Below are 25,119 nucleotides of genomic sequence, written 5' to 3'. Positions count from 1 at the left end.
AAAATACCCCAAAAACATGTTTCTTTGCCATATTTTGAAATGGCCCCTGCATAGCTGTTCTTTGTGGGGGAAAATTTGCATCTGTAAAGAATCTCAGTTAACATAGCCAGATCTTTTTCTTCCAGACCCTCCCAATCCTGAAGAGATTAATTAAGATATGAATAGGAAATATTGGTCACCTATTGTCTCTAAGGGCAGCCACTATAAGACTTCAAAAGAACTTTGGTTTCCACAATCTTTATTTTTTATTTATTTATTTTTTTGAGACGGAGTCTCTCGCTTTGTCACCCAGGCTGGAGTGCAATGGCACGATCTGATCTTGGCTCACTGCAACCTCCGCCTCCCGGGTTCAAGCGATTCTCCTGCCTCAGCCTCCTGAGTAGCTGGAATTTCAGGCACCCACCACCACGCCTGGCTAATTTTTGTATTTTTAGTAGAGATGGGGTTTCACCATGTTGGTCAGGGTGGTCACGAACTCCTGACCTCATGATTCACCCGCCTCGGCCTCCCAAAGTGCTGAGACTACAGGCGTGAGCCACCTCGCCTGGCCCTTTTTTTTTTTTTTTTTTTTTTTTTTGAGATGGAGTTTTGCTCTTGTTGCCCAGGCTGGAGTGCAATGGCGCGATCTCGGTTCACCGCAACCTCCGCCTCCTGGGTTCAAGTGATTCTCATGCCTCAGCCTCCTGAGTAGCTGGGATTACAGGCATGCGCCACCACGCCTGGCTAATTTTGTATTTTTAGTACAGACGGGGCTTCTCCATGTTGGTCACGCTGGTCTCGAACTCCTGACCTTGTGATCTGCCCGCCTTGGCCTCCCAAAGTGCTGGGATTACAGGCATGAGCCACCGCACCCGGCCACAATCTTGATCTTAACCTGAACACTCCTTTTCTACCAATCCCAAGTCTTTAGACAAGCTCAACCAATTGTCAACAAGAAAATGTTTAAACTCACCTATAGCCTGGAACACCGCTGCCCCTCCCCCCACCCCCCCCACCCCCAGCTTTGTGTTGTCCCGCCTTTCTGGACCAAACCAATGTATTTCTTAAATGTATTTGATTGATACCTCATGTCTCCCTAAAATGTATAAAACCAAGCTGTGCCCTGAGCCCCTTGGGTATATGTTCTCAGGACCTCCTGAGGGCCGCACCACAGGCCATGGTCACTCATATTTGGCTCAGAATAAATCTCTTCAAATATTTCGCAGAGTTGGACTCTTTTCGTTGACACTTGTATTGATCTATGTCTTTGCCTGCAACTTCTGTCTCCCTACAATGTATAAAACCAAGCTGTAGCCCAGCCACCTTTGGCACGTTTGCTGGAACTCTGGAGGCTGTATCATGAGCCGTGGTCAGTCATATTCGGCGTAGGACAAACCTCTTTAAATACTTTACAGAGTTAGCTTTTTTCATCCTGACCAACATGGTGAAACCCCGTCTCGACTGCAAATACAAAAACTAGCCGGGCGTGGTGGCGGGAGCCCGTAGTGCCAGCGGCTCGGGAGGCTGAGGCAGGAGAATCGCTTGAACCCGGGAGGCGGAGGTTGCCGTGAGCCAAAATCACGCCACTGCACTCCAGCCTGGGCGACAGAGTGAGACTCTGTCTCACAAAAAAAAAAAAAAAAACAAAAACAAAAGAAAAAAAGTCACCCCTCTGCTCACTGAGGTGAATGCATATATCTGGTTGCCTCCTTTGGAGAAGCAAGTCAGAAACTCAAAAGAATGCAACCTTTGTCTCTTATCTACCTGCGACCGGGAAGCGCCTCCCCACTTCGAGTCTTCCCTGCCTTGCTTTGCATTGTCCTGCCTTTCCAGACTGAACCAATGTTCATCTTACATATGTTGACTGATGTCTCCTGTGTCCCTAGAATGTATAAAACCAAACTGTGCTCCGACCACCTTGGGTACAGATCCTCAGGAGCTCCAGAGGCTGTCACAGGCACATCCTCAATCTTGGCAAAATAATCTAAATTAACCGAGACCTGTCTCAGATATTTGGGGTTCACAGGCTCAAGCACAGCAGCAAGGAACCCCCCACCCAACCATCCCCTGCAGGTGGCGAGTGTGCGTCCTGGAGGAGGGAGGGCAGCTTGGTCCTGGGCACTCAGGAGTGTGGCCGACTGGGAGACGGGGAAGCTGAGCCTTCTGGCCCGGTGCAGTTGCCACCACTGCTCCGGGGAAGGCTTGGCAGAGGAGGTTGGGAGGGAGGATCCAGGGTCTATTGTTGGCACGTGGGTGGAGGTCCACAGAGCAGGAGTTGCGTGTGTGTGTCCAGAGCTGGGGACCAAGCCAATGTCTTTGGGGGGAAGTCTGGGCTGAAGACATAAATGTGAGTCGTCAGCACACACAGGCATCTACAGCCAGAGACAAGACTGGGGCGGACCTTGAGCCCTAAACAGGACCACTCACCACAGACATTCTGGGATCAGGGAGGGCAGCCGAGGAGGCTGAGGGGAGTGTCCACCACAGGAGCCCACAGGCTCCCTGCATCCCGACACCAGTGTTAACAGCTGTTGCTGGTCCCTGGGGGTTCCCCTGCCGGCTCCTAACAGGCTGCACCCCCTGGCTTTCCCCCCATGTGGTTCTCTCCTTCTCTCTCGCGCCCTCCTCCGACAGCCGCCCTCCCTGTCCCCCTTGCAGGGATGCCTGCGCTCCTAGGGCCTGGCGCTGGTGCTCTGAGAGTGTTAGGGGCAGAGTTGAGTTCTGGGAATGAAGGGGCTGCAGTTTCAGCAGCTCTGGTTCTGAGGAGGGGGCTCCTGTACATCCCTGAATTATGAGGCCCATGGCCCTGAGGCGACACCTCCAACTCTTCTTGGCCTGGACGGAGGGGGCTCTGGCCAGTGGTCTGCCCACTGCCCACTTGGCCAGCAGCCTTTGATGGGGGTGGGGGGATGGGTGGGGGTCTCTGCCACTGCCCGGCCGTAGCCTTCCAAGCGGGGGGCTCCCAGATGGGATGTCTGTCAGGAGGGACCCTGCTGGGTGGTCCAAGGCAGCCTCGGACAGGGGCTCCCTGGGGTGGGGGCTAAGGGGCGGGCCGCACCCTCGGCCCGCAGGCTGTAATTTGTGTTATATATAGCGTTGAGGGGCTGGGCCGGGAGGGCGACAGGGCTATAAGTGAGCGGGTGCCCACCCTCCCAGCACCAGTCTGAGTGTGGAAGAGACGGCGCTGGAACCCATGGACACGGCGTATCCCCGCGAGGACACCCGGGCCCCCACGCCCAGCAAGGCCGGTGCCCACACAGCCCTCACACTGGGGGCCCCGCACCCCCCGCCTCGAGACCACTTGATCTGGTCGGTGTTCAGCACCCTCTACCTGAATCTGTGTTGCCTCGGCTTCCTGGCGCTGGCCTACTCCATCAAGGTGGGCAGGGGCCCTACCGAGGTTGCGGGGGAGGCTCCACTACTCCATCAAGGTGGGGGGAAGGGGGAGGGATGGGGAGCTCCGTGGGGGGTCCTTGCCGTGCTGGGGGCCGCGGGGGGCTCTGCTTGTCCGTGAGGGGCTCTGTGGGCACAGCTATCAGTATGGCCGGGAAAGAGCTCCTCACGAAGGCAAGGCCGGGGGGCCTCTTCTTAACGGGGTCTGGCCCATCCAAGAGCACAGAGGCCATTGGGAGGCACCCACAGAGGTCTCTGCAATCAAGAGGGGGTTCACATGCTGTGGGCTTCTGGAACAGAGGTCCCTTTGACTTCAGCTCCTGGCTGGCAGGGTGGGGGGTGTCTCAGCACCCTGGGGGACCCTCACCCATAGAGAGCTCTGATAGGCTGACACTGGCCTGGGATGGCCCCCGGGTCCATAGCTGGGGCCCCAAGGAGTATCTCCTCAGGCCACACCCCTCCATCCAGATTTTGGGTGCAGTAGGGGCCTTCCAGGTGCCCAGGGTGTGGGTGGGGAAGGGCCCCCAGGCCCCGAGGACACATAGAGATCTGGCCCTGTGGTCTGGTCTCTCTGCAGGCCCGAGATCAGAAGGTGGTTGGTGACCTGGAAGCGGCCCGGCGTTTTGGCTCCAAAGCCAAGTGCTACAACATCCTGGCCGCGATGTGGACGCTGGTGCCGCCACTGCTGCTCCTGGGGCTGGTGGTGACTGGTGCCCTGCACCTGGCCCGGCTGGCCAAGGACTCTGCCGCCTTCTTCAGCACCAAGTTTGATGACGCGGACTATGACTGACAGGCTGGGTCCTGATCTGGGGCACTAGCCCCAGGACACTGACCCCAGGCTGCTGCCCCTGGGGCCCAATACTGACTCCCCGGAGCCTGGCCCTCCTTCTGTGGGGCCTCCATCCCTGCCCCATCCTGATCCTGGGGCCCTCCAGCCCCAACATGGGCACCTAAGGCTGAACCAGTCAGACCCCGGGGTCTTCACCCTAACCCGAGAGTTCCCGGGCCCTAACTCTGCCCCCGATCCTGCCCCTCCCTCCTCACACTCCAGGCCCCTCGGTTCCACGATTAAAAGTGCCTGGTTCCAGAAAGTGCCTCCTGGCCTCTTTCCTGCCTAGCGTGGGGGAAGGAGCTGCCCTAGGGACCACCAAAGCCAAATGCCACAGGGCCAGCCCCCAGAGTCAGTGGCGGGAGCGCCCCCCGCAGCTCAGCAGCCCTGCTTGGCCCCAACTGTCCCCTTCTCTCAGCCACTGGGCGGCCTGTGGCTTACGGGGCGGAGGCCCAGAGTATTTTAGACTAAGTTTGAGAGCCCAGGCCTTTGATCTCTGCTGCTCTGTGGTTTAGCGGCCTGTGCTCCAGAACATCATGGGTGCGTCCCAACCCCACGTGTGTCCACCCCATCTCTCTGTGCGCATGTGTGTGCGTGCTCGAAGTCTGCGTGAGAGTCCGTGCCTGTGGGTGGGCTCCATCTGCGGTCTGGTGTACACCTCCTTCCTTTCTGGGTCATTCTGTCTGTCCCCATGACCCTGCGTGCCCCCTTAATTCTGAGAAATCCCAGTCCCCACGGTGGTTTCCCTCCCTCCTGGGCCAGTGAGGGTGGCTAGAAAGGCAGGGCGGGGACGATCCCATGGGTGGGGCTGGACACACACACAAACACATGTGGGAAGGATAGCAGCTTCCCTTTCTCTCTCACACACACACACACACACACACCCCAACCAAACTATATCCAGAAAGGCAGAAAATGGGCATGTGTGCAACATTCTCTGAGTCCCCTGGTGCTGGGTGCATGTTCTCATATTATTTTACCTGCGTTGTGTACCACAGCCTCCCCACACACCCACCACAGCCTGGTGATGGGAGAGGGCCAGGGACATGCACACTGCGAGGCTGCGGGGAGGCCCTGGGGCCTCGCTGAGGCCAGCCATTGCCGGGAGGTGGTGGTTAACAGCACAGTGGCCCAGGGTTCTGAGCACCCCACTCCGGGGCCCTTCCCTTCCCGGGGAATCGCCGTTGCCTGCCTGCTCTTCCTGGGCTGTGGGCAGGAATCTTTTGGTCTACTCGGAGCCCTGGGCAGCATCCCCTATCTGTGATATGCCTGCAGCCAACGGCTGGCGTGGCAGGGACTCTGAGGGCAGGCCCAGCCAGCCCTGGAGGCAGAGGTGTGTGGAGGCCATGCTGGGCGCTGGAGACAGACAGGACCAGTCCCACAGTGGACCAAGGACAAGGGCAGTGTGCCCACCTGTGCTTGCCTTGGGATAGAGACAGTGTGCCAGCCCTGAGCCTCAGGATTGGCCTGAGAAGGGATCAAACTGTGTCGGGTGCAGAGACTGGGAGGGGGTCAGCCCATGTGTGGCTGGATACGTGTCCCCAGAAAAGAGACGGTCTGCCAGTCCCCAGGCTTACTGAGGGGCAGGGACGACCTGGTCCATTCCCGGTGCTGTGGGTGAGCCACCTTGGGGGAACGGTCACCAGCACCTCCCTGCCTCAGGCTCAGGCTCCTGGGCAGGCGATGAACCCTGACCAGCCCTGCCGGCACACGTGCACTGACCATCACGACCCCCCCAAAAGGGTCACCTCAGGATGTGCAGAGGTGGCCCCACACGCGTGTGGCACGCACGTGCAGCAGGCTTCAGGCCATATCTCTCCTGCGGGCGCAAGGCTACCGACCACCCTGACTTGACACCTGTGCCCACATCACCCTGGCTCTGGGGCTGCAAAGATGAACTCCTGCTGGGGCAACCGTGGCCGGGAGAAGGGGCCCATGCTTCCCTCGGGGAACCTGCCTCTGCCTCTCGCTGCCCAGCGACAGCGTCGGATGGGACCCAGCTCTGCAGCTGAGGGAGCCTGTAGGGGCCGGGGGAGCCACGTGGAGGCGTCAGGCTGCATTCTGCGAGACTCCTGCCCGGCACTGGACTGCATGCCGGGCTGCCCCCTGACCCACAGCCCCTCTCCACTGTGGCCACGAGCCCCTGTGAGACTCCTGCCCGGCACTGGACTGCACGCCAGGCTGCCCCTGACCCACAGCCCCTCTCCACTGTGGTCATGAGCCCCTGCAAGACTCCTGCCCGGCACTGGACTGCACACTGGGCTGCCCTGACCCACGGCCCCTCTCCACTGTGGCCATGAGCCCCAGCAAGCAAGCTGCCATAAAACACGCAGTGTCCACAGGTCTCAGCCTTCTGCACCCTACACGGTTCCTGTCAGGGGAGCCGACCTCTGAGTGCTGGTCTCGGCCGCAGGTGTGCTGCAGCACATGCCTCCCCCACACGCTGCTTCTGGCAGCCGCTGAGGGTGGCAGAGACAGCAGACAGGCCTTGGGAGACCCAGGCATCCTGGCCCCCAGACCCTAGAGCTGCCTGAAAGATGTTTCCACAGGCGTCCTTGCCTCCTTCCCTCCCTCCCTGAGTCTCCGTCCAAACCTCTGCTGTCCTCCGAGGACAGGGTGCAGCGGCAACACCAGAGCAGGAGGGAGATGCAGATGCGAGGGGAGCCATGTTGCTGGGCGCGAGCCTTAAAGTTGCTGTGCTTCCCGACTCAAGTGAAAGGAGAAATGGGACCCGGGGCACGGCCCTCACTTCAGAAGGAAGCACAGCGGCTCCTCAGAGGAATAATGCTCTCCCCAGCACCAAAGCTTTAATTCCTCAGGCTGACAGCGGTGCAGGGGGCCTGGTCCTCATCAGGGTTTCAGCAGCAGATGCCATCACATCTTGTTCTTGGGAAACTGCTGACGACCGAACCCTGGGGCTGAGCTCCCAAGACAAAGGCTGGGCAGGGCCAGGGCCTTGAACCCATGCACACCTGGCTCCAGTCCCTCTGGCTGGTCCGTGGAGAGCGCTGGGGTCTCGCCCTCAAATCCCTCTCCTGTTCTCTGGTGACTTCCCACTTCCCACTCCCCCACCTCTGTCCTCACAAGCGGCGTGGCTGAGGGAAGAGAGCCATCCCACCCCACGCTGTAGCAGAGGCTGCCCAACCTGATTAAAGCTGCCCAGAGTCAAGAGGAGCCTGGGATTGAGACTAAGTCCCCTCAACTGCATGACATGAAAAGTTCCTTTTTGGCAAAGCTGCACCTGAGAGTCCTGAGGAATTCTGAAGGGGCCGAGTCCCCGTCCTTCGTGCCCCTTATCCCTGCTGTCCACGCTGAGGCCTGAGCCTGCCTCTCTGCCTTCTCAGCAGAGCGGCCGGCCGCTGTGACCACTGCTCTCAGGAGAGTGGGGGATGAGAGGCCAGAGGTGATGCAGGCTCAGACCCCGGCTTCAGGAGCTCGGGGTGGGGTCGTGGGACGGTGCGCGATAGCATCAGTCCACAGGGGCAGGCAGAGGCGGTGTGGAGATGCCACGGGGAAGCCACCTGCCCACGGGGGTCCACGGGAGTCCAGGCTACAGGCAGAAAGCCTTGAACTCAGGCCAAGCAGCATGGACCTTCCCTGAGAGCCTGGCTGCAGGTGAGGGATGGCAGGCTAGGAGGGTGCCCAGGAGGGGTGGGTGCAGACGTGGCCAGAGGGAAGGCCCAAGAGACGTCTCTGAAGCCACCGTTCCTGATTATTCAGAGGCAGGGTCCACAGTGAGTGACTCGGTGGGGCTGGAGGAACCCAGGGTGACCCAGAGGGGGCTCTGGAGCGGGTCCCTAACATCTGAAAAAGTCCTCCCAGGGAACTCGGAGCTGGAACTTCCAGGCAGCTTCGGGGGTGACATTTGTATCCGGCCAGCCGAGCGGGGAAAGGAGACCTTGTGTCCTGCAGGGAGAGAGGCAGCCTGGGGGTGAGGGGCAGCCTGGGGTCGCAGGCACCTGGGCTGTTGGGGGCTGTTCTACCTGGCAACAGGGAGAGCCGGGACTGGGATGGCCACAGCTCAGCCTCCAGGTGAGGAGCCCAGGGCCCTGCTCGAGCTGTGACCTCCACGGTCACGGAGTCCTCGGAAAAAGAGAAGTTGAGCTTGTTCCCCTGGTAGAAGATGCCGGAGACGCTCACTCTGGAGATCCCCGACAGACACACAGGGTCAAAGGTCACACCCGCTCGGGTGACCCTGTGGGAGGAGAGGCTTGTGAGGTGGCAGGTGGGGGCATGGGCTGCCCTCTGCCAGCCTCTGCACTTACCTGAACCCCGTGCACCCGAAGACCACCGCCTGCAGGAAGCCCCCCATGCCTGTCAGGAAGTTCACAGCGCCTGACCCGTCTGCATTCTCCGTCCACACCTGCAGGGGCAAGGGCAGCTGACACCAGGACCCCCAGGTCACCGTCCTCTCTGGGCTGCTGTCCCAAGATCCGGCAGGAAGCTCCAGGGGTGCACCCTGCTGTGCCTGCTCTGAGGCTGGGCTCCACTCCCACCACAAGGGGCCCAGTGGGAGGCAGGTGTGGCCAGGCTGACCTTGAAGGGTTCAGCCATGTTGGCAAAGCTCCTGTCCAGGAGGCCCCGGGCCCGCACTGCGTCCTTCAGCTCCATCCAGCCCACAGCAAACATGCTCTGGGGTCAGAGGTAAGAGGACACACAGGGGTGAGGCCCACTGCGTGGGCAGAGAAGACTGAGGCCAATGGGGTAGGAACTCCACAGCCCCAGGGTGCTCACCCAGGTCATGGCGGGGCCCTGGGGGGACGTCACAGCCTCGTAAATCTCCAGATTTTTCCTGCGAACATCAGGACTCAGGGAGAAGGGGACTGGGTATCCCAGGAGCACGACGTCTGCCTGCTTCACCACCTCTCCTACAGGGAGGTGCCGCTGACTGGAAGGTGTTCCAGGACAGACTCGAGGGTCTCGACGGCAGGGGAGGAGCCCTTGAAGGGGTCCACTCACCAGGCTCATACCCATCGAACTCCGGGTGGAAGTTCTGCTCCACGTCAAAGGGTACCTTGATCTTGTCAGCCACCGCCAGCCACTGGCTGGGGATGGGAAGACCCAGGTCCTGGGCCAGGGCAGCAGCAAAGCGCAGGCTGGAGGTGGAGGTAGGTGGGGGAGGCTGCAACCCCTACACTTCCAGCTGCTGCCTGCCTAGTGGGGGCACCGGGGCAGGTCTCCAGCTGGGGCGGGGGTGGGGTGAGGTGAGGGGATCTTGTGTCTGACCTGTTCTGGACCAGGACGTTGGTGTACACAGAGTTGTTGACCCCTGAATGGTACTCGTCGGGGGACATGACTCCTGGACACACAAGTCCAAGATGGTGCTCAGTGCAGAGTCTCAGAGGCCTTCCCTCCACGCCGGTGGTCAGCGTGGGGCTGGCACACGTGAGGTGTCTGAAAATCATCTGCTGAGTCTGGGAGCATCCACCCTTCCTCCCCGAGCCCCTCCCCACCATGGCCTCACCCCTCAGGTGGTACTTTTCCTCCCTGGGGCTCCACTCAACACGACTGCACCAAAACTCGGCCACAGCCCTGACCACGTCCCAGCCACCAGCCTCTCGAAATAGCTGCAGGTCCTGGGGAGCAGGAGGAGGCACAGAGGCCAGGGCCCCAGTCACTCTCATTCCTAGTGGCCTGTCTGTGCCCAGAAGCAAGGCCTGGCATTGAGACACCTGTCCTCAGCCAGCTTCCCAGGACCAGCCCCAAACAGGAAGCCACGAGGAGTGGGGGCTACACCAGCTGCCTGGCCACACTTGCAGGAATGGTGGGCACGCAGCACCTCACCTGGGTGGTATGGTAGTACAGCTCGAAGGCCAACACCACGGCCCCGTTGACGTGGACCTCCTGGACTCCGTAAATGTCCTCAGGGCAAACCTCTAGGCCGGAGTCTGCACTCTCCCAGGCAAACTTGGCTCCCTGAGGGGTTGGGAGGGGGCAGACTTGACCTTGTTGGAGGGGAGCGGTGGCCCCCCAACTTTCCCGTGCCCTCGCCCTGGAGGAGGGGGGGCTCGGCCTGCGCCAGGTACCCTGGCGGGTGCTACTGCTAGAAGGCCCACTGCACGTCCTCACGGGGCCAGGTGGCTTCTGCCCAGTTCTCACCGAGTGCTGACCCTGGTGCAGGGCAGCAAGGGCACCCCAGGGGGTCCTGGGCCAAAGCAGGGTCCCAGCCCGCTGCGGTTCCCACCTCCTCTCTCTCAGGTGCGGGCTGCAGGGCACTGCTGAGGCCCCACAAGCCTCAGGGTGGGGAATCTAGGATGTCCCAGCTTTGTCCAGAGGGGGCCTGGGGAGAGGGATACAGGCCTGGGAGGGGTGTGGGGGCTGCAGGCCCTGCAGGGCCCTACGGGCCAGTGCCCCAGGTCCCCTCACCTGGTAGCCCAGGTTCTGGGCGTTCTCCAGGGCCCCGTCCAGCGTGCGGATGCGGTACTCCAGGATGGCCCTGGCGGCTTCTGGGTGGAACATCAGGATACTCGGGAACATCCAGAGGTCCTGAGAGCACGGTCCCTCGTTCTAGCGCCGGACAGGCCGTCACTGCTCCCGCCCCTCCTGGCCACATTCCGCCCCGGCAGAGCTCCATCGCTGGCGTCTTCTGGGTTCCTCCTCGGCTGCCCACTCAGATCTGCAGGCCCTCCCCACCTGCCCACCCAGTTCTGTCTCCAGCCCAGACGCTCCTGGAGTTCTGGTGCTCAGCCCCACACTTCGCCTCCCCAGCCGGCGTTTGTGTGGCCTCAGAGGCTCCAGCCCGAATATGCGCATGGGCAGCTTCAGGCTGGCAGTGAATGACTCGGCCTCTGAGAGCCTCATCAAAGAAACGGCCACAGCGGCAGCACCGGGAGGCTCAGACAACGATGGAGCAGCCCCAGCACAGTCACTCTCGACACCTCCACGCCCAGCAGCCATCATGCCCCTCCGCTCTGTGCCCTCAGCGTCCCCGTCACCCCCGTCGGCCTCCAGTACCGGGCTCCACGCAGCCCCACAGGCCTTCCCAGTCCCCACAGGTCCCCGTCCTGATAGGTCCCTGGAGCTCCACTGGCCCTCAGGTAAACTCCAAGCGCCACACTACTGTCTACAAACGCTGGTGATCTGGACCTGCAGCCCTTCTCGCCTTGGTGGAGGCCCCTCCCCACGCTCTGGAAAGTGCCTCAGGCCCTCTCAGCTCTGGTCTCTGCACCTTCCATTCCCCTCACCTAGATCACTCCTCTACCAAACTCCTGCACACCTTCCAGGCCTCTTCCCTTTTGCCACAGTCCCTGTGCTTCCCCAACCATAGCCCTGGTCCCAGGGAGGGCAGAGACCGTGGACCTCCATGTGTCGCCTGCTGTGTGGCTGGTGCTGGGTGTACAGTGCTCACCTGGTCCCAGAAGACGTGGCCCCAGTAGCATTCCTCACGGCTCCCATTGGAGAGGCCCCCAGGACTGAGGCCATGGCAGATGTATCCTGGGGCCTTGGGCTGGGGCAGGGCACTGAGCAGGTAGTAGAGGGAGCCACGCAGGGCCTGGCGCAGCTGCAGGGGCCCCACCACGTCCAAGCCACATTCTACCCAGAGCTGGGCCCAGGCCTGTGCGTGAGCCGTATACAGAGCTCCCCTGGCCTGCAGCTGCAGGGCCTCAGTGAGGCAGGCCTGAGCCTCAGCCTGGCTGCCGCCCACTGCTGTCAGGAAGTCCCACGTCCTAGCCTCCTCACCTTCCCCAAGGGTCAGGTCTGGGGGTGCTGGTGTCCACAGCATGTGTACCTCTTGCTGTGGCCCCCCGGGCTGCTCAGGGGTGAGGGTGTGGCCATACAGGTACCTGTGAGAGCGTGGCCATGCCTCAGGGATGAGCTCCCTCCCTGGACTCCCTGGCTGCAAATCCAGCCCCCTCCTTACCGGGCTCCCTGGAAGTCAGGACCCTGATGCAGGTCCAGGTCTGGGCTTTCTGGGGAGAAGGCTGACCGCAGGAGCAGCGTGATGGGCCCGCTCCCCGGGGCCAGGCGGGCGATGGACACTCGGAAAGCCAGCACGTGGGGCAGCGTGCGATGCGCATAGATGCACTGGGAGGCCCGGAAGCGGGGGCCCTCCAGGGTGTGAAGAAAGGAGCCTGGGGAGGCAGAAGCGAAGGCAGGTGGGTTGCCAAGCTATGGCCTCTCTGGGGCAGGAGTGGACCACCCGACCGCTGCCTCTCCCCACAATGAGGCGGATCCCTCTGGGCCCTCGGCTGCTCGTTCCCGCTACAGCTGCACAGGAGGCCTCCAGGTGGAGGGAAGGGGGGACCCTGCGGGCCTCTGGGGCCTCCTGTCTTAGTGAGACTTCCTGTGTAAACTCAGGAGGTGCTGGTGGGATTCGATGCTGTGGTTGCCCCACCGACCTGGAACAATGCCTGGGGCAGGGGTGAGGCAGGCCAGGTGGCGCTACCTGTGTTGGTGTCCAGGGCGAAGGTCTCGGTCAGCTGCTCCCCCATCCCTGCAGGGGCCTCCAGCCGGACGTTGAGGGGGCTGGGCAGCATGGCCCGGTGCGTGTCCCCGCCAGCCCCATTGTACACGCCGCTCACGTGCAGCGTGTCGTGAAACACTCGTGTGCCCAGGTATGCGTTGGTCACAGTGGCCAAGAGACGGGGGTCACTGGGCAGAGAGTGGGCAGCAAACGTGGTGGGGTCCTCGCCGGCGTCCTCCATGGAGCTGCTGGGCCTGAGCGGCCTGATGGGGTGTCAGGGGCCGCGGGACTGGCTGGGCCTCCCTCTTGAGACCGTCTGTAATCCCCTGAAGCCTCCCTCAGAACTGGGGGGAGTTGCGGAACCAGCTGGGCAGCCCCGATTTTCCTGAGGCCCCTCCTAGACGGGGCCTCGCAGGAAAGGAGCTCGACTCTCAGAGGGGCTCAGACCCCAAAGGTTGATCTCCAGGAACCCAGCTGAGCCCCTGAGTGTGTCTCTCCCTCCTGCTACCTTAGAATTCCAGTCCTAACCCTGCTTTCCAAACGCACCCCCCACAACCCCGGTCTTGCCCCCACCCTCTGTGGTCGGGACCTGCGTCTGTTGGTGGCACGTGGGGGCGGGCGTGTGTGGAGGGTGGGGGGAGCGCTGGGCGGGATGGGGGAGGGAGTCCGGGGCTGCCGGGGCGCCGGGCGGGTGGGGGTCTCGGGGGTGTAGGCGGCTGGGGCAGGCGCGGGTGGGGGAGGGAGGATGGGGCGACCGGGGGCTGGGGGGACGGGCCGGGGCGGCCGGGAGCTGCGGGGCGGGGGCCTCTGGGACTCACCGCAGCCCCACCCGGTCGCCGGGCGCCAGCGTGGGAACCTGTGTCCCTCTGCTCCACGCCAGGGCCGGGAGGAAGGAGGAGCCGCCCGGCTGCCGCGCCACCAGGAAGGTCCGCGGTCCCCGCCCCGAGGGCCCGGGCGGTCGCTGGGAGGCGGGGGCGGTCCCTGGGCGGCGGGGGCGGTCGCTGGGCCGGGCCCGGGGGCGGGACGTGGACTCGCGGCCGCGGCCCCGGCTCCCCTCGGTCCCCGCTGGCAGCGGCCGCGTGGGTCGCGTCCGGGGGCCTGGCGTTCCCTGCACGAAGCGCCCTGAGTGAGCAAAGCTCGAGCCTGGACCCCGAGCTGCGTCCCGGGGCGGCTGTGGGTGGGGCCCGCGGGCCGGGGGTTCCCTCCCGCGCCTCCTCCCTCCGCCCGCGCCCCCGGCCGCCTCCACCTGGGTCCTCGCCTCGCTGTCGCCCGAGGGCTCGGGGGCGCTCCGAGGCCAGCGAGACTCCAGCCCCAGCCGGCGCCCGGGTTCTCGACACCGTCCGGAGAAAGAACTCGGGGTCGGGTCAGAAGGAAGCGAGAGGCTGGAAGCGAAGCGAAGGCACAGACCCGCCGCGCTCGGCGGAGCTTGGGTTTCCTCCCTGGGGGGCGGAATGATCTTTAGGGATTCTGGAAACGAAGGGGACTTCAGGGAACCCCGGCCCCCGCCGCGCCTGCCCCTTCTCCCTTATTGGGCGTTTTGCCGGGAAGGCTCATGGACGTCTCACTCGCACGGGTGTTTGGCCGTTTTCTCGCTCTCGTTTTGGGTTTTCTGTTAAACTGCGGTCCCTTTGCCTCGGTCCTGGTGCAGCTGCTGCTTGGGTTTTCCATCCTCCTGAGACCACCGGTGCAATTCCCAATTCCCATCTCAACGCCACCGCCCACCCGGACGCCGCTGGGCTCAGCCCTGGGCCCGCTCGTCCCGGTATCTCACGCTCCCTGACCCGGCCTCAATGTCCTGACCACTCGGTGCAGCCGGAGACGCCGGGGTCCAGCACGTGCTCGGAAGCCTGCTGCTCCCACAGGGTCCCCAGCACAGGTGAGGACGACTCCGCCCGTCCCGCTGCCCAGGCCGTGAGCCCCGGTTTCTCTCTGTCACCCACACAGCATCCAACCTATGGACAGGTCCTGTGGCTCCACCTCCAACACGCCGTGGGCCCACACCTCCTCCTGGAGTGGCTCAGTCGCTCCCAACTTACGCCTTTGTTGAGAACAGAACCCCCACAACATTTAAGGCAGGCCCTGCACTCTGCCCAGAAGGCAGCCATGGCGCCCAACTCACGGAGGACGATCCAAAAGCGCTCCTCACGCAAGCTCCACCCGGCGCAAACCCCCTCCTGCAACTGCCTGGGTTCCCTGACCTCATCTCCTCCCCCTCCCCTACTCCGCTGCGGCTACCTGGCTTCCTTGCTGCTTCTGGAACTTTCCAAGCACGCAAGCTCCACCCGCAAACCCCCTCCTGCACCTGCCTTGGTTCCCTGACCTCATCTCCTCCCCGTCCCCTACTCCGCTGCGGCTACCTGGCTTCCTTGCTGCTTCTGGAACTTTCCAAGCACGCAAGCTCCACCCGCAAACCCCCTCCTGCACCTTCCTGGGTTCCCTGACCTCATCTCCTCCCCCTCCCCTACTCCGCTGCGGCTACCTGGCTTCCTTGCTGCTTCTGGAACTTTCCAAGCACGCAAGCTCCACCCGCAAACCCCCTCCTGCACCTGCCTGGGTTCCCTGACCTCATCTCCTCCCCATCCCCTACTCCGCTGCGGCTACCTGGCTTCCTTGCTGCTTCTGGAGCTTTCCAAGCACGCAAGCTCCACCCGCAAACCCCTTCCTGCACCTGCCTGGGTTCCCTGACCTCATCTCCTCCCCCTCCCCTACTCCGCTGTCGCTACCTGGCTTCCTTGCTGCTTCTGGAGCTTTCCAAGCTCCCCGCCTGGCTTGCTCTGGCAGCATAATTGCCTGAAGCCCTTTTTCTCAAGACCTCTTTGGGGCTTGCCCCCTCACTCCTTCGGGTTTTCAAATGCCCAGTCGTCAGTTAGACTTCCTCAGACCCCCGTTTCATGCAACAGGAAACCCTGCGCTCCATCCATTCCCACCAGCCCCTGGTTCTGCCTAACTTTCCTCCGCAGCATTTATCCGCCCCGCCTCTGAATCTTTATTACATTGTTACTTGTTGATGCATCATAGGCCTTTTTTTTTTTTTTTTTTTTTTTTTTAGAAAGACTCTCGCTCTGTCGCCCAGGCTGGAGTGCAGTGGCGCGATCTTGGCTCACTGCAAGCTCCACCTCCCGGGTTCGTGCCATTCTCCTGCCTCAGCCTCCAGAGTAGCTGGGACTACAGCGCCCGCCACCACGCCCGGCTAATTTTTTTGTATTTTTAGTAGAGACGGGGTTTCACCGTGTGAGCCAGGATGATCTCGAACTCCTGACCTCGTGATCCACCCGCCTCGGCCTCCCAAAGTGCTGGGATTACAGGCTTGAGCCACCGCGCCCGGCCACATCACAGGCCTATTGATTGTGGTGTGTAGTTATGTATCAGATACACATTTATTTATTACTTATTAGCGATGGGGTCTCTCTCTGTGGCCCAGGCCAGAGTGTGGTGGCAAAATCATATTAGGTTGGTGCAAAAGTAATTGCGGTTTTTGCTTACTTTCCAACCAACCTAATAGCTCACTGCATCCTCGAACTCCTAAGCTCAAGCCTCGAACTCTTGCCTCAGCCTCCTGAGTATCTGGGACCACAGGCATGCGCCACCACACCTGGCACACGTATACATATAATATACGTACTTGTGCTATTGCGTTGTGTATCACATATGTGTTGTGTATGTATCGTATATATATTTATTGTATTACACTGTGTATCATATAGGTGTTTGTCTTCTTACCTAGAATGTCAGCTCTAGGAGGACAGGGGTTTTTGTGTTTTGTGAAATGAAGAAATGGAGTTAGAAAGTGGATTATAGTAGGGGATTTCCCCTGGGCAGTGATGGGGCTGAATCCAGAGTCTCCCCCCACCTCCCCACTCAGACTGGAGTCTCAGCAGCCCAGCAGGGTTGAGCAGAGAAAACTCCAGGATTCGAGGACTGTCCGCCGCGGGTCCTGTCCATCAGGGCCCCTGTCGCAGCACTTTCTGCAGTCAGGCTGCCCCCTGAGACTCACTTTCCTCACTGGGGAACCGGGGGCCACCATCCTGCCCTGTGAAAGTGGAATGCTGGAAAGATTGTGAGCACCGACCTGTATTGTACCACGCCTGGCCAGGTGTAATAGAAACCAACAGAAATGAGTCCACAGGGGAATTTACCATCAGTGCATGGGGGCTGCTCACCCACCGTGTGGTCATGCTTCCCACCCAGCACGGGGGTTCTGCGCTGTCTCCACCTGCCCTAGTCTCCCTTCCCAAAGATCTCAGACACTGGACGCCTGTGGGCCTGGGCCATAGCCTCAGGGATGGTCTCATTCCTAACAGGGAGGGACGGTGAACTGCCTACCTCCAGTCTATGTGGGCATAGTTCTGGGGGCTGTTGGGCCACACTGCAGATGGGGATCAGGCAGTGAAGGGTTATTCTGCCCCCAGGTAGGTGCTTAGTTAATTGGAGCTCTCGCTGTCATTATTGTGGCTTGGGGTCGGGGGGTGTTTTCAAGGGGAATGGCTGGAGGGTCTCAGGAGAGGAAGGTGGGTGGAGTAGTGGTGGGGCTGGGGGAGAAGGGGTACCCCAGGTGTGGAGAGAGGGGCAGGTCCTGGGCCTGTCCTGGACGGGGCAGGGTGCCGTGTCTGGGCCTCCCACATGCCTGTCTGCGGCCTCTCGGCTCAAAAGTTTCCCAAAGGCCGAGAGCAATATCCTCCTGCCCTTGGAATGGGCCGTTCTCTCCACAGGGACTTTGACTAGGGTCTTCCACCCTGCTCTGGCCACCAGAGCCTCAGAAGGTCGAGATGAGTTCCTTGGGAGGTTGTGGGTGGCCGTCCAGCGCTGGGTGTGTGATGACCAGATCCGGCTTTGCTCTCTTCACAGCCTGAAGCTCCTGTAGTGACTGCTCGCTCAGCTCCACAGAGGCCAGACTGCAGCCACACGCAGAGCAGAAGCGGGGTCAGCGGTGGGGGAAAGCAGCCAGGGCTTGGGGGCAGTGCCGTGGGGGCAGCCGGGCCGCGGGCAGTGACGGGCAGTGCCGTGGGGGTGGCCGGGCTGCGGGCAGTGACTGGGCTGTCAGCTTGGCTGTGCCACAGACACTCAGGGACAGGTGGTGTCAGTTGAGAGGTTTGTCAGAGGCTGGGGGAGGGGGCAGAGGCCGGACCTTGGGGGTGGCAAAAGGGTATCGGGGCCACTGGCCCAGGGTGCTGCCATGGGCACCAGACAACAGATGAACATTTGGTCAGACAAAGTGGTCAAGGCCCCGAGCTGTGGCCAGGGCTTCAGAGGGCAGGGCTGTCAGGGCTGGGCTCCCAGGTCAGTGTTTGAGCTCAGTCACATGGGAGGTCTCTGGGAGGGGCCCCTCTTCAGGGTCCAGGGGGAGCCCCCAGGCACCCTCCCCCTCCCCGGGTTGACAGGCTGTGTCCCCAGCACCCTTCCCACCCCTGCCTCCACCTGAGGGTCTGCAGGCCGCATCCCTGGTGCTGCAGGACTGCACACAGGTAGGTCACCATGGGGGCGGGCAGTTGGCAGCCGCTGAGATCCAGGGTGGTCAGGGCAGGGCTCTGCCGAAGCATACCCACCAGGTACTGGAGCCCTCGCTGGGGGTCAGGCAGCTGTACCCTGTGGGAGGGCCGACCTCAGGAGCTGCTGGGGTGGCGGGGGCATCCCACGGTCCCTCCCAGGCCAGGCCTCACCTGACCGTCTGCACCCTGCACTGCGGCCAGGCTAGGCCCTCACTCAGCATACGCAGTCCCGCCTCACTGAGCCTGTTGTGGAGGAGGCCCAGCTCCGTCAGTGCGGGGGCTGCCCTCAGGGCCTCAGAAAGGTCTCGGCAGACCGCGTCAGGGAGTTTGCAGTGGGACAGCCTGTGGTCAAGAAGCACAGAGATTTACCTGCAGGCGCCTCAGCCACCACACCACCTCCAACTGCACAAAATGCCCGCTGCCCGGTGGCCCAGGGTTCAGCTGAGAGATGTGTTGGTGCCACATCCTTCCCTGGACCTCGCAGAGCCTGCCCTGCCCTTTGTCACCATGCACCCCCGGGGAGCTGTGTTCATTTCTCCCTGCGACACTCTCTACGAGCTCTTCGGAGAGCTGAGACGTGTTTCAACATGTTTGCCGCACAATCGTCCACCAAGATGAGGTGGCCAACTCAGTTTATTTAGTCCGCTATTCCCTAATGGTTGGGTAGTTGTGTTGTTTCTCCTTTTTTTTTTTTCCATTATAAATAATGGTGTGCTGAACATCTTACTTTACCAGCAGAATTGCTGGGCCAAATGTGATCACCTTTTTGGTTCTTATGTTTATCTCCAGATTGCCAAATCCCCCACCCCCATATCAAGCTAATTTGCCGAGTTGCCATCAACGTAGGATGGACCTGTTTCACCATCAGTACTAGTTCCTAGATTTCCTCTTCCTTTCTGCTCACTTGGTGGTAGCTAAGAGTGACTGGCAAGTTATTGCCATGTAAGAACTGTACATGTGGCCGGGCGCGGTGGCTCATGCCTGTGATCCCAGCACTTTGGGAGGCAGAGGCGGGTGGATCACGAGGTCAGGAGATCGAGACTATCCTGGCTAACCCGGTGAAACCCTGTCTCTACTAAAAATACAAACAATTAGCCGGGCGTAGTGGCGGGCACCTGTAGTCCCAGCTACTCAGTAGGCTGAGGCAGGAGAATGGCGTGAACCCGGGAGGCGGAGCTTGCAGTGAGCTGAGATCACACCACTGCACTCCAGCCTGGGCGACAGAGCGAGGCTCCGTCTCAAAAAAAAAAAAAAAAAAAAGAACTGTACATGTGTAGCCACATTAAATCTCACCCCAACTCTCTGGATCTACTGGCTCCATTTCACAGGGGAGGAAATGGAAGCTCGGACAGATGGACTTGCTACTGGGCACGCAGAAGCCGGCTAGCATTTGCAGACAGCCTGACCTTGGAGCCTGCGCTTGAACACCTTCCTCCACTGCTTCTGAGAACCCAGCAGTTTCCAACGGCAGCCTCCCTTCAGAAGGAAAATACACTCTTGTCTTCTTTAATCCCTCCCTCAGTGTGCTTAGCTGCTTTCCACTCACCAGGACCAACCTTTTCCTACCAGTACCTAACCTGGTAATGAAGCCCCAGACCCTCATCCCCTCCTCCCTCTGCTCTGTGTGGGCAGAGCCTGCCATCTCCAGCACCCACAGGCCTCAGGCTCTGGTCTGACCCCTCAGCCTTCTTTCCTAGGTCATACTTCCGTCTCTGCCCAGGGCATCCTGCTCTCAGCCCGCTCCGTGGGAAGAGCTGGGGGTGTGGCCACTCACGTGAGGCTGCTCAGATGGCACAGTGGGTCAGTCATTGCCTGAAAGAGTGGATGAAGAAGGGAGGCTGGCAGTTGTTTTGTGGTGCCTTGAGAACTGCTGGGAGAGAGAGGAAGGTGAAGCCCACCCTGCTCCTCACAGTGCCTGCCGGAAAGGACTCCTGTCTATCTGTAGTCCTGGGGTCTCAGAGCTGCCCCTCCTCCTCACCTCCTTGCTGAGCCACCCCCTTCACACTCCCCCAACCAAACCCAGAGCAAAACCACTCATCTGTGGCCCAGGCATCATCCCACTGGGGTGTCTGAGTGAGGTCAGTGGGACGGTATCACCCACATCCTCTACATGGGTCTTTGGGTCCCCAGGCCCAGCCCCTGCCAACACCGTGACATTCATCCTCTCAACAGATGCCAAGCCCCTGGGCAGGGGCTGAATTGGAGCTATATTCAAAGGAACTCTGGCAAAAGCCTTGCCCTGGAGGAGCCGAGGGTCTGGTGGAGGTGTGGGGCAGATGTCACAGCAGGGTGGTCGAAAGGGTACTTCTGGAGCCAGTTGGGTCCCCAGCCAGCTGGGGGAGCCAGGGCAGACTTGCAGGACAGGCAGCAAACAGAATATTCTAGGTGGAGGGAAGGGCAAGTGCAGAGGCTCTGGACAGAGGGCATCGTGTGTTCCAGAGCTTATTGTCAGAAAGTAAAATGGGAAGAAGGGCTGGGCCAGAGCTGTAGGGCCATACTAGGAAGTTTTCATAGGTTGTGGGTGGCTGACGGTGGGCATGGTGAGGACACCCTGGGGAAGAAGATAGGAATTCAGTGGTTGCCTTGCAAGGAGGTGGTCAAAGCCTCCCCATCTGGGGAGCCAGGGTCTGGTCTGGAGGTGCGCCCCATGCCAGATGGACACTGAGGTGCACAGGTTTGCACCGGCACACACACCTCACACACAAGAGAGTATCTCTGCCCTGGAGACGCACCTGCCGCCACCCAGGCTGGCCTGGAGCCGCTTCCCCAGGCTCTTCTTCTTCTTCTCCTGCGCAGCAACCAATCTGCAGCTGATCAGCCGCAGTGCCTGTCCAGCAGGGCAGCACCTCACGCAGTAGCTCAGAACAGCCACGTCCATGCGGCAGAAGCGCACTCGCTGCAGCGCCAGCTCCGGGAACCGGCACAGGGCTTGGCGCACAAACGCGTCCTCCTGCGTCTCGTACAGGCAGTACAGCAACTCCAGTGGGTAGTTGGGCTCCTCTCCCTCCTCCTCCTCCTCTGGCTCTTCGGTGTCCTCGAGCCCTTTGGCCCCCTCGGTCACCTCTGGTGCCACTCCGGGGCAGCCCTGTCCCTGTCCCTGCACCCACCGCAGGGCCTCCTGCTTCACACGCTCTGAAACCATGCAGCCGAAGTGGCGCTCGATGTCGCGCATCCGCTCCGCGCTCAGCAGTCCGAAGAGGAAGCGCGTGGTGAGCACCAAGTGGCTGTGCGGCTGGGCGTCCCCACGCAGGAGTGTCCCAACGCCGCCAGCCGCGGTCCTGGGCACCCCGCCGTCCTCCAGCAGGTAGGACAGTGCCGCGAGGAACTCCTGGAAGCTCTGGTCGATGAACTGGTAGGTGACCTCTGTCTCCAGCACGCCCGGCAGCTCCTTTTTGCTGAGAAACAGCGTCTGCACTTTGGAGCCACGAAGCTCCAGTTGCTCCAGTTCCTTCTCGGCAAACTGCGCCCTGCGTCCGAGGACGCCCTCGCGGGCCAGGCGGCACAGATTGCGCAGGTCGCCCTGCAACCGGGGCCCGTCGGCTACCGGAGCCGAGCTCAGAACGCTGGTGATGAAAAGCAGGTACACTGACGTGGTGGTCTTGGACGTGCGCGACAGGTCCCGACCGAGCTCCAGCTGCTGGCGCAGCACGGTGCACACGATCCAGCACACGAAGGGCACGAAGCACAGCGCGAACAGCGTCTCGTTCTCCTTCACGAAGCGGTAGGCGCGCTCGGCCCTCCTCTCATCCCGGAAATACTTGTAGAAATACTTCTTCTTGTCCTTGTCGGAGAAGCCGCGCACCTCGGCGCACTGCGGGGAACACAGGCGGCCCTGCAGCCTCCCGGGGGCGGCGGCGCGCGTGGTCACCAGCAGGAGGGCCGTGGGCAGCAGCGCCTTGCTCAGCAGCCCGCCTAGCACCCGCGCGCCGCTCGCCGCCTCGAAGGGGTCTGTGCAGGGCGCGGCCTCGGGGCCCCCCAGCGCCGGCAGCTCGTCCGCGCCGTCCAGGATGAAGAGCAGCCGCTGCGGCTGGGCCAGCATCTGCGGCACCGGCGCGCCGCGGTCGGGGCACTGGTCCAGGATCAGGTCAGCCAGGCTGCGCGTGCCCGGCCTCTCCAGCAGCTCGCCGCAGGGCATGAAGAAGGCGAAGTCCACCTGGCCCTGGTACAGCTTGCCCGCCGCCCAGTCGTACAGGATCTTTTTGGCCGCCATGGTCTTGCCGATGCCCGCCGGGCCCTGCAGCACCACGGTCAGCGGCCGCCGGCCCTCCTCGTCGCGGCGGAAGAGGCGGTTGAAAGTGTGCGTGTCCGAGCGCCGCGCGCGCCCCGGCTCAGGCTCTTCCGCGGGCCCCATCGCCTCCTCCGGGGCGGCGCTCTCGGGCGCGATGAGCAGCTTGGTGAAGCGCTTGGTGATCTTCACGGAGCGGGCGTTCCTCTCCTTCACCCGAGCGTGCAGCTGCAGCACGTGCTCCCGGTACTTCTTCTTGTACTCTGGGCGCAGCGGGAGACAGCGCGGGGACAAGGGTCGGAGGTGGGGCAGGCTGCGCCCTCCGGGAGCCCACGCCCTCCCCGGCCCTGCTCAGGCCTCAGTTTCCTCTACGGGACCACAGCCCACGCCCCTGGCGGCCCTCCCACCCCGGTCCTCCCCGGGACCCTCCAAGTGGGGTTGGGGACACTCGTGCCCCCCCAGCGAGAGACCCACCGGACACGGAGAGCAGCGTCCCGGAGCCGAGCCCGAGCCCTGGAAGGGAAACTGGGGTGAGGTTCCGCCGAGGGCGGGAACAGGGGAAGGCGCCACGGGGGTCCGAGTCACCCTGAGGAGCACGCAGGGTCCTACCCCTGGGGCCCGCGAATTTGTGGATAAAACGCGCGGGGGCCGGGGACCGCGCCGGGGCTTCTCCGGGAAGCGGGAAGGAGGGCAGCCCAGCCTCTGCCCAGACAGGAGGGACCTCCCGCGCAGAACTCACGCTGCAGCCGCCGCTCCTGGAGCTGCGCCGCCACGTCGCGCGCGTCCGCCCTCTTGAGGGTCTTGCGGGCCACCTCCAGGGCAGGCTCCGGGCCGTAGAACTGGGCCAGCTGCTCCGCGAGGTCCACGGCGTCCGCGCGCTCCAGCCGCCCCCACGGGATGCTGCGTCCGTCCGGGCCCACGTCGCGCAGCTTGTGGCGGAAGCGCTTCAGCTGCTCTTGGCTCAGTTCCTCCAGCGCAGCCAGGAGCAGCTCGCGGGCCACCGCGAGGCGCGGCCCCGTGCTGGAGGCGGGCGGGCGCGGGTCATCGGGGAGCGGCCCTCGGGTGACCCCCGCCCGCCCCCGACTCTGGCGCCGGAGAACCCACCGCGGGCAGGGCCTCAGGGAGTCCCGGGCCAAGCATCGTCTGGATCCATGGGGTGGCGGGAGGGGGCAACGGGGAGTGACCCCAGACTTTTCCCTCCCCCGTCCCCGGACCCGGGTCGGGGCGTCTTGGTGTTCTTCGCCCTCTGAGGGTGAAGTGGGCACTGGCCGCCGCTGATCTGAGCTCTGGGGGGCACCTTCCTCCCCTGCACCTCCCTTTCTGCTTCTGTCCTTCCACACCCCAGGACAGGTCACATGCCCCGAGGGAGGTATTTCCAAGGAACCCTGAGCTCTCTTTCCTCGCTTTCCTTCTTTTCCCTCTCTTCCCGATCCCGGAGCAGAACTGGCCTCTTTGGCAGCAGACACTGCCAGGCCCAGGCTGTATTCCTGGGCCCCCACCCCTGCCACACTTTGGTGGGGCCCAGCTTGGGGCCTTGCACCAGGGCCTGAATCTGAGCCCCTGGTGGGGAACAGACTCCACAAATGCCCTCTGTGGGGAGGCAGTGCTTGGCTCCTGAGCCTGGGAGTGAGGGTGGGGGAAGGATGTGGACAAGGGTGGAGAGCCTGAGGAAGTCAGCGGGTGAGGTGGAGGCCCCAGAGGGCTGAGACCAGCCGGTTCCCAGTGACCACCCTGGGGCCAGCACTCACCTGGAGCAGGGGGCCTCTGGCTGGTCCATGGGGTCTCTTCCTCCCTGGGTCTAGCACTCCGGGGCAGAGGTGGGGATCAGAGAGGTGATTCCTTCACAGGCTGAGCTGGAGCCAAGTCTTAGAGGTTGTCCAGCCCGGTCCATTCCCCGGGTCCACACACCGCAGCTCAGCTGGCACGAGATGCTGTTGGGCACCGTGGCACACGCAGAGCATTGCCCTTTAAGGGCTCCGTTTGGTGACCTTTGATTTTCTTACTCCTTTATCCCATTAATGTTCCCCAAGAACCCCTGGGTGTGGCATCGGGGCATGGCTGTGAGCAGGCAGCTTCAGAGCAAGGTGGGTTGTGTGAAGGAGGTGGCTGGCTCAGAGCCAGGCCTTCAGCTGAGGCCTGGGGAGAGGTTAGACTCTGAAGGCAGGGGTGAGGAAAGACTTCCAGGTAGAGGGAACAGGGGGGACAGCCAGCAGCACGCACCATATATGGGAGGGAAGGCAGTCTCCAGGGAGACGCCGGGCAGGGGTCTGCACTGCAGCCTCCCCACCCGACCTGAACAGCTGGCGGGCAGAGGCTGGACGTCAGGGGTGTTCGAGACCCCTGGGACCAAATGTGAGAGTGTGTGGAACGGGGGGGTTAATATGTGGAAATGAGAGGTGCTGGGTAAAATAAGGCTGAGACCTACTGGGCTGCATTCCCAGGAGGGTAGACATTCTAAGTCACAGGATGAGACAGGAGGTTGACACAAGATACAGGTCATAAAGGCCTTGCTGATAATGGTGTAAAGAAGCTGGCCCAAAACCACCAGAACCAAGATGGCAATGAGAGTGACCTCTGGTCATCCTCACAGCTCATTACTCTAGTTACAGTACATTAGCACACTAAAAGACACTCCCACCAACACGATGACAGTTTATAAATGCCATGGCAAAGTCAGGAAGTTACCCTATATGGTCTAAAAGGGGAGGAACCCTCAGTTCTGAGAATTGCCCACCACTTTCCTGGAAAACTCATGAATAATCCACTCCTCGTTTAGCATATAATCAAGAAATAACCATAAAAA

At 61.8% G+C, this 25,119-nt stretch overlaps 3 protein-coding genes across 13 annotated transcripts, besides 10 other annotated features; 1 reads left to right on the top strand and 2 right to left on the bottom strand.

The window, feature by feature from the left end:
* IFITM5 (interferon induced transmembrane protein 5) lies at nt 3,137-4,463 on the top strand. The gene is made up of 2 exons (NM_001025295.3): nt 3,137-3,358; nt 3,950-4,463. The coding sequence occupies exons 1-2, from the start codon at nt 3,173-3,175 to the stop codon at nt 4,160-4,162; spliced, it is 399 nt and encodes a 132-aa protein (NP_001020466.1). The 5' UTR covers nt 3,137-3,172; the 3' UTR covers nt 4,163-4,463.
* Nucleotides 3,807-3,966: an enhancer, noted in NCBI's record as "active region_4259". NCBI's record gives its function as "activates an Ori minimal core promoter by ATAC-STARR-seq in GM12878 lymphoblastoid cells {active_cell/tissue: GM12878}" and the evidence as "EXISTENCE:reporter gene assay evidence [ECO:0000049][PMID:35858748]".
* On the bottom strand, nt 6,556-13,537 carry PGGHG (protein-glucosylgalactosylhydroxylysine glucosidase). 9 transcript variants are annotated; one of them, XM_017018355.2, is made up of 14 exons: nt 13,424-13,537; nt 12,588-12,868; nt 12,063-12,273; nt 11,550-11,985; nt 10,568-10,687; nt 9,986-10,117; nt 9,666-9,777; nt 9,428-9,500; nt 9,161-9,297; nt 8,936-9,069; nt 8,738-8,833; nt 8,467-8,564; nt 8,185-8,396; nt 6,556-8,107 (listed from the first exon to the last, which is right to left on the bottom strand). In XM_017018355.2, exons 2-14 carry the CDS (start codon nt 12,844-12,846, stop codon nt 7,914-7,916), a joined length of 2,214 nt encoding a protein of 737 aa, XP_016873844.1. In that variant the 5' UTR covers nt 12,847-12,868; nt 13,424-13,537; the 3' UTR covers nt 6,556-7,913. The 9 variants fall into 9 exon arrangements, 8 of the variants coding, with proteins under 8 accessions (XP_016873844.1, XP_011518686.1, NP_079368.3 ...); XM_011520384.3 differs by having other exon boundaries at nt 8,185-8,342; NM_025092.5 differs by having other exon boundaries at nt 12,588-12,859.
* Nucleotides 13,348-13,407: a silencer, noted in NCBI's record as "silent region_2993". NCBI's record gives its function as "represses an Ori minimal core promoter by ATAC-STARR-seq in GM12878 lymphoblastoid cells {active_cell/tissue: GM12878}" and the evidence as "EXISTENCE:reporter gene assay evidence [ECO:0000049][PMID:35858748]".
* Nucleotides 13,418-13,947: a silencer, noted in NCBI's record as "silent region_2992". NCBI's record gives its function as "represses an Ori minimal core promoter by ATAC-STARR-seq in GM12878 lymphoblastoid cells {active_cell/tissue: GM12878}" and the evidence as "EXISTENCE:reporter gene assay evidence [ECO:0000049][PMID:35858748]".
* Nucleotides 13,418-14,360: a biological region, named in NCBI's record as "H3K27ac-H3K4me1 hESC enhancer GRCh37_chr11:288303-288832".
* Nucleotides 13,831-14,360: an enhancer, noted in NCBI's record as "H3K27ac-H3K4me1 hESC enhancer chr11:288303-288832 (GRCh37/hg19 assembly coordinates)". NCBI's record gives its function as "activates a minimal SCP1, AML or CMV promoter by ChIP-STARR-seq in naive H9 embryonic stem cells {active_cell/tissue: H9 hESC(naive)}" and the evidence as "EXISTENCE:reporter gene assay evidence [ECO:0000049][PMID:30033119]".
* Nucleotides 14,361-14,890: an enhancer, noted in NCBI's record as "H3K27ac-H3K4me1 hESC enhancer chr11:287773-288302 (GRCh37/hg19 assembly coordinates)". NCBI's record gives its function as "activates a minimal SCP1, AML or CMV promoter by ChIP-STARR-seq in naive H9 embryonic stem cells {active_cell/tissue: H9 hESC(naive)}" and the evidence as "EXISTENCE:reporter gene assay evidence [ECO:0000049][PMID:30033119]".
* NLRP6 (NLR family pyrin domain containing 6) lies at nt 17,275-24,256 on the bottom strand. 3 transcript variants are annotated; one of them, NM_001276700.2, is made up of 8 exons: nt 24,065-24,256; nt 23,056-23,336; nt 22,791-22,829; nt 20,824-22,579; nt 19,866-19,958; nt 18,263-18,433; nt 18,021-18,188; nt 17,275-17,497 (listed from the first exon to the last, which is right to left on the bottom strand). In NM_001276700.2, the coding sequence occupies exons 1-8, from the start codon at nt 24,091-24,093 to the stop codon at nt 17,359-17,361; spliced, it is 2,676 nt and encodes an 891-aa protein (NP_001263629.1). In that variant the 5' UTR covers nt 24,094-24,256; the 3' UTR covers nt 17,275-17,358. The 3 variants fall into 3 exon arrangements, 2 of the variants coding, with proteins under 2 accessions (NP_001263629.1, NP_612202.2); NM_138329.2 differs by having other exon boundaries at nt 19,866-19,961; nt 24,065-24,093; XR_930848.2 differs by lacking the exons at nt 17,275-17,497; nt 18,021-18,188 and having other exon boundaries at nt 18,350-18,433; nt 19,796-19,961.
* Nucleotides 18,027-18,796: an enhancer, noted in NCBI's record as "H3K4me1 hESC enhancer chr11:283867-284636 (GRCh37/hg19 assembly coordinates)". NCBI's record gives its function as "activates a minimal SCP1, AML or CMV promoter by ChIP-STARR-seq in naive H9 embryonic stem cells {active_cell/tissue: H9 hESC(naive)}" and the evidence as "EXISTENCE:reporter gene assay evidence [ECO:0000049][PMID:30033119]".
* Nucleotides 21,213-21,302: a silencer, noted in NCBI's record as "silent region_2991". NCBI's record gives its function as "represses an Ori minimal core promoter by ATAC-STARR-seq in GM12878 lymphoblastoid cells {active_cell/tissue: GM12878}" and the evidence as "EXISTENCE:reporter gene assay evidence [ECO:0000049][PMID:35858748]".
* Nucleotides 22,256-22,325: an enhancer, noted in NCBI's record as "active region_4258". NCBI's record gives its function as "activates an Ori minimal core promoter by ATAC-STARR-seq in GM12878 lymphoblastoid cells {active_cell/tissue: GM12878}" and the evidence as "EXISTENCE:reporter gene assay evidence [ECO:0000049][PMID:35858748]".
* Nucleotides 22,406-22,956: an enhancer, noted in NCBI's record as "H3K4me1 hESC enhancer chr11:279707-280257 (GRCh37/hg19 assembly coordinates)". NCBI's record gives its function as "activates a minimal SCP1, AML or CMV promoter by ChIP-STARR-seq in primed H9 embryonic stem cells {active_cell/tissue: H9 hESC(primed)}" and the evidence as "EXISTENCE:reporter gene assay evidence [ECO:0000049][PMID:30033119]".

This window comes from Homo sapiens, chromosome 11, assembly GCF_000001405.40.
Source record: "Homo sapiens chromosome 11, GRCh38.p14 Primary Assembly".
NCBI classification, from domain to species: Eukaryota; Metazoa; Chordata; class Mammalia; order Primates; family Hominidae; genus Homo; species Homo sapiens.
This window is presented reverse-complemented; position numbering and strand designations above follow the sequence as displayed.

Bases quoted from the DNA above. Each gene is read 5' to 3' on its own strand.
- IFITM5 (NM_001025295.3), top strand. From the start codon at position 3,173: ATGGACACGGCGTATCCCCGCGAGGACACCCGGGCCCCCACGCCCAGC. The intron at 3,359-3,949 runs GTGGGCAGGGGC...GTCTCTCTGCAG, and splicing joins CGCTGGCCTACTCCATCAAG to GCCCGAGATCAGAAGGTGGT.
- PGGHG (XM_017018355.2), bottom strand. From the start codon at position 12,846: ATGGAGGACGCCGGCGAGGACCCCACCACGTTTGCTGCCCACTCTCTG. The intron at 12,274-12,587 runs GTAGCGCCACCT...CTGCCTCCCCAG, and splicing joins CGCCCTGGACACCAACACAG to GCTCCTTTCTTCACACCCTG. The intron at 10,688-11,549 runs GTGAGCACTGTA...CCGTGCTCTCAG, and splicing joins GCCACGTCTTCTGGGACCAG to GACCTCTGGATGTTCCCGAG.
- NLRP6 (NM_138329.2), bottom strand. From the start codon at position 24,093: ATGGACCAGCCAGAGGCCCCCTGCTCCAG. The intron at 22,830-23,055 runs GTGAGTTCTGCG...TTTCCCTTCCAG, and splicing joins CCAGGAGCGGCGGCTGCAGC to GGCTCGGGCTCGGCTCCGGG. The intron at 17,498-18,020 runs GTGGAGGCAGGG...GTGTGGCTGCAG, and splicing joins TGCGGCCTGCAGACCCTCAG to TCTGGCCTCTGTGGAGCTGA.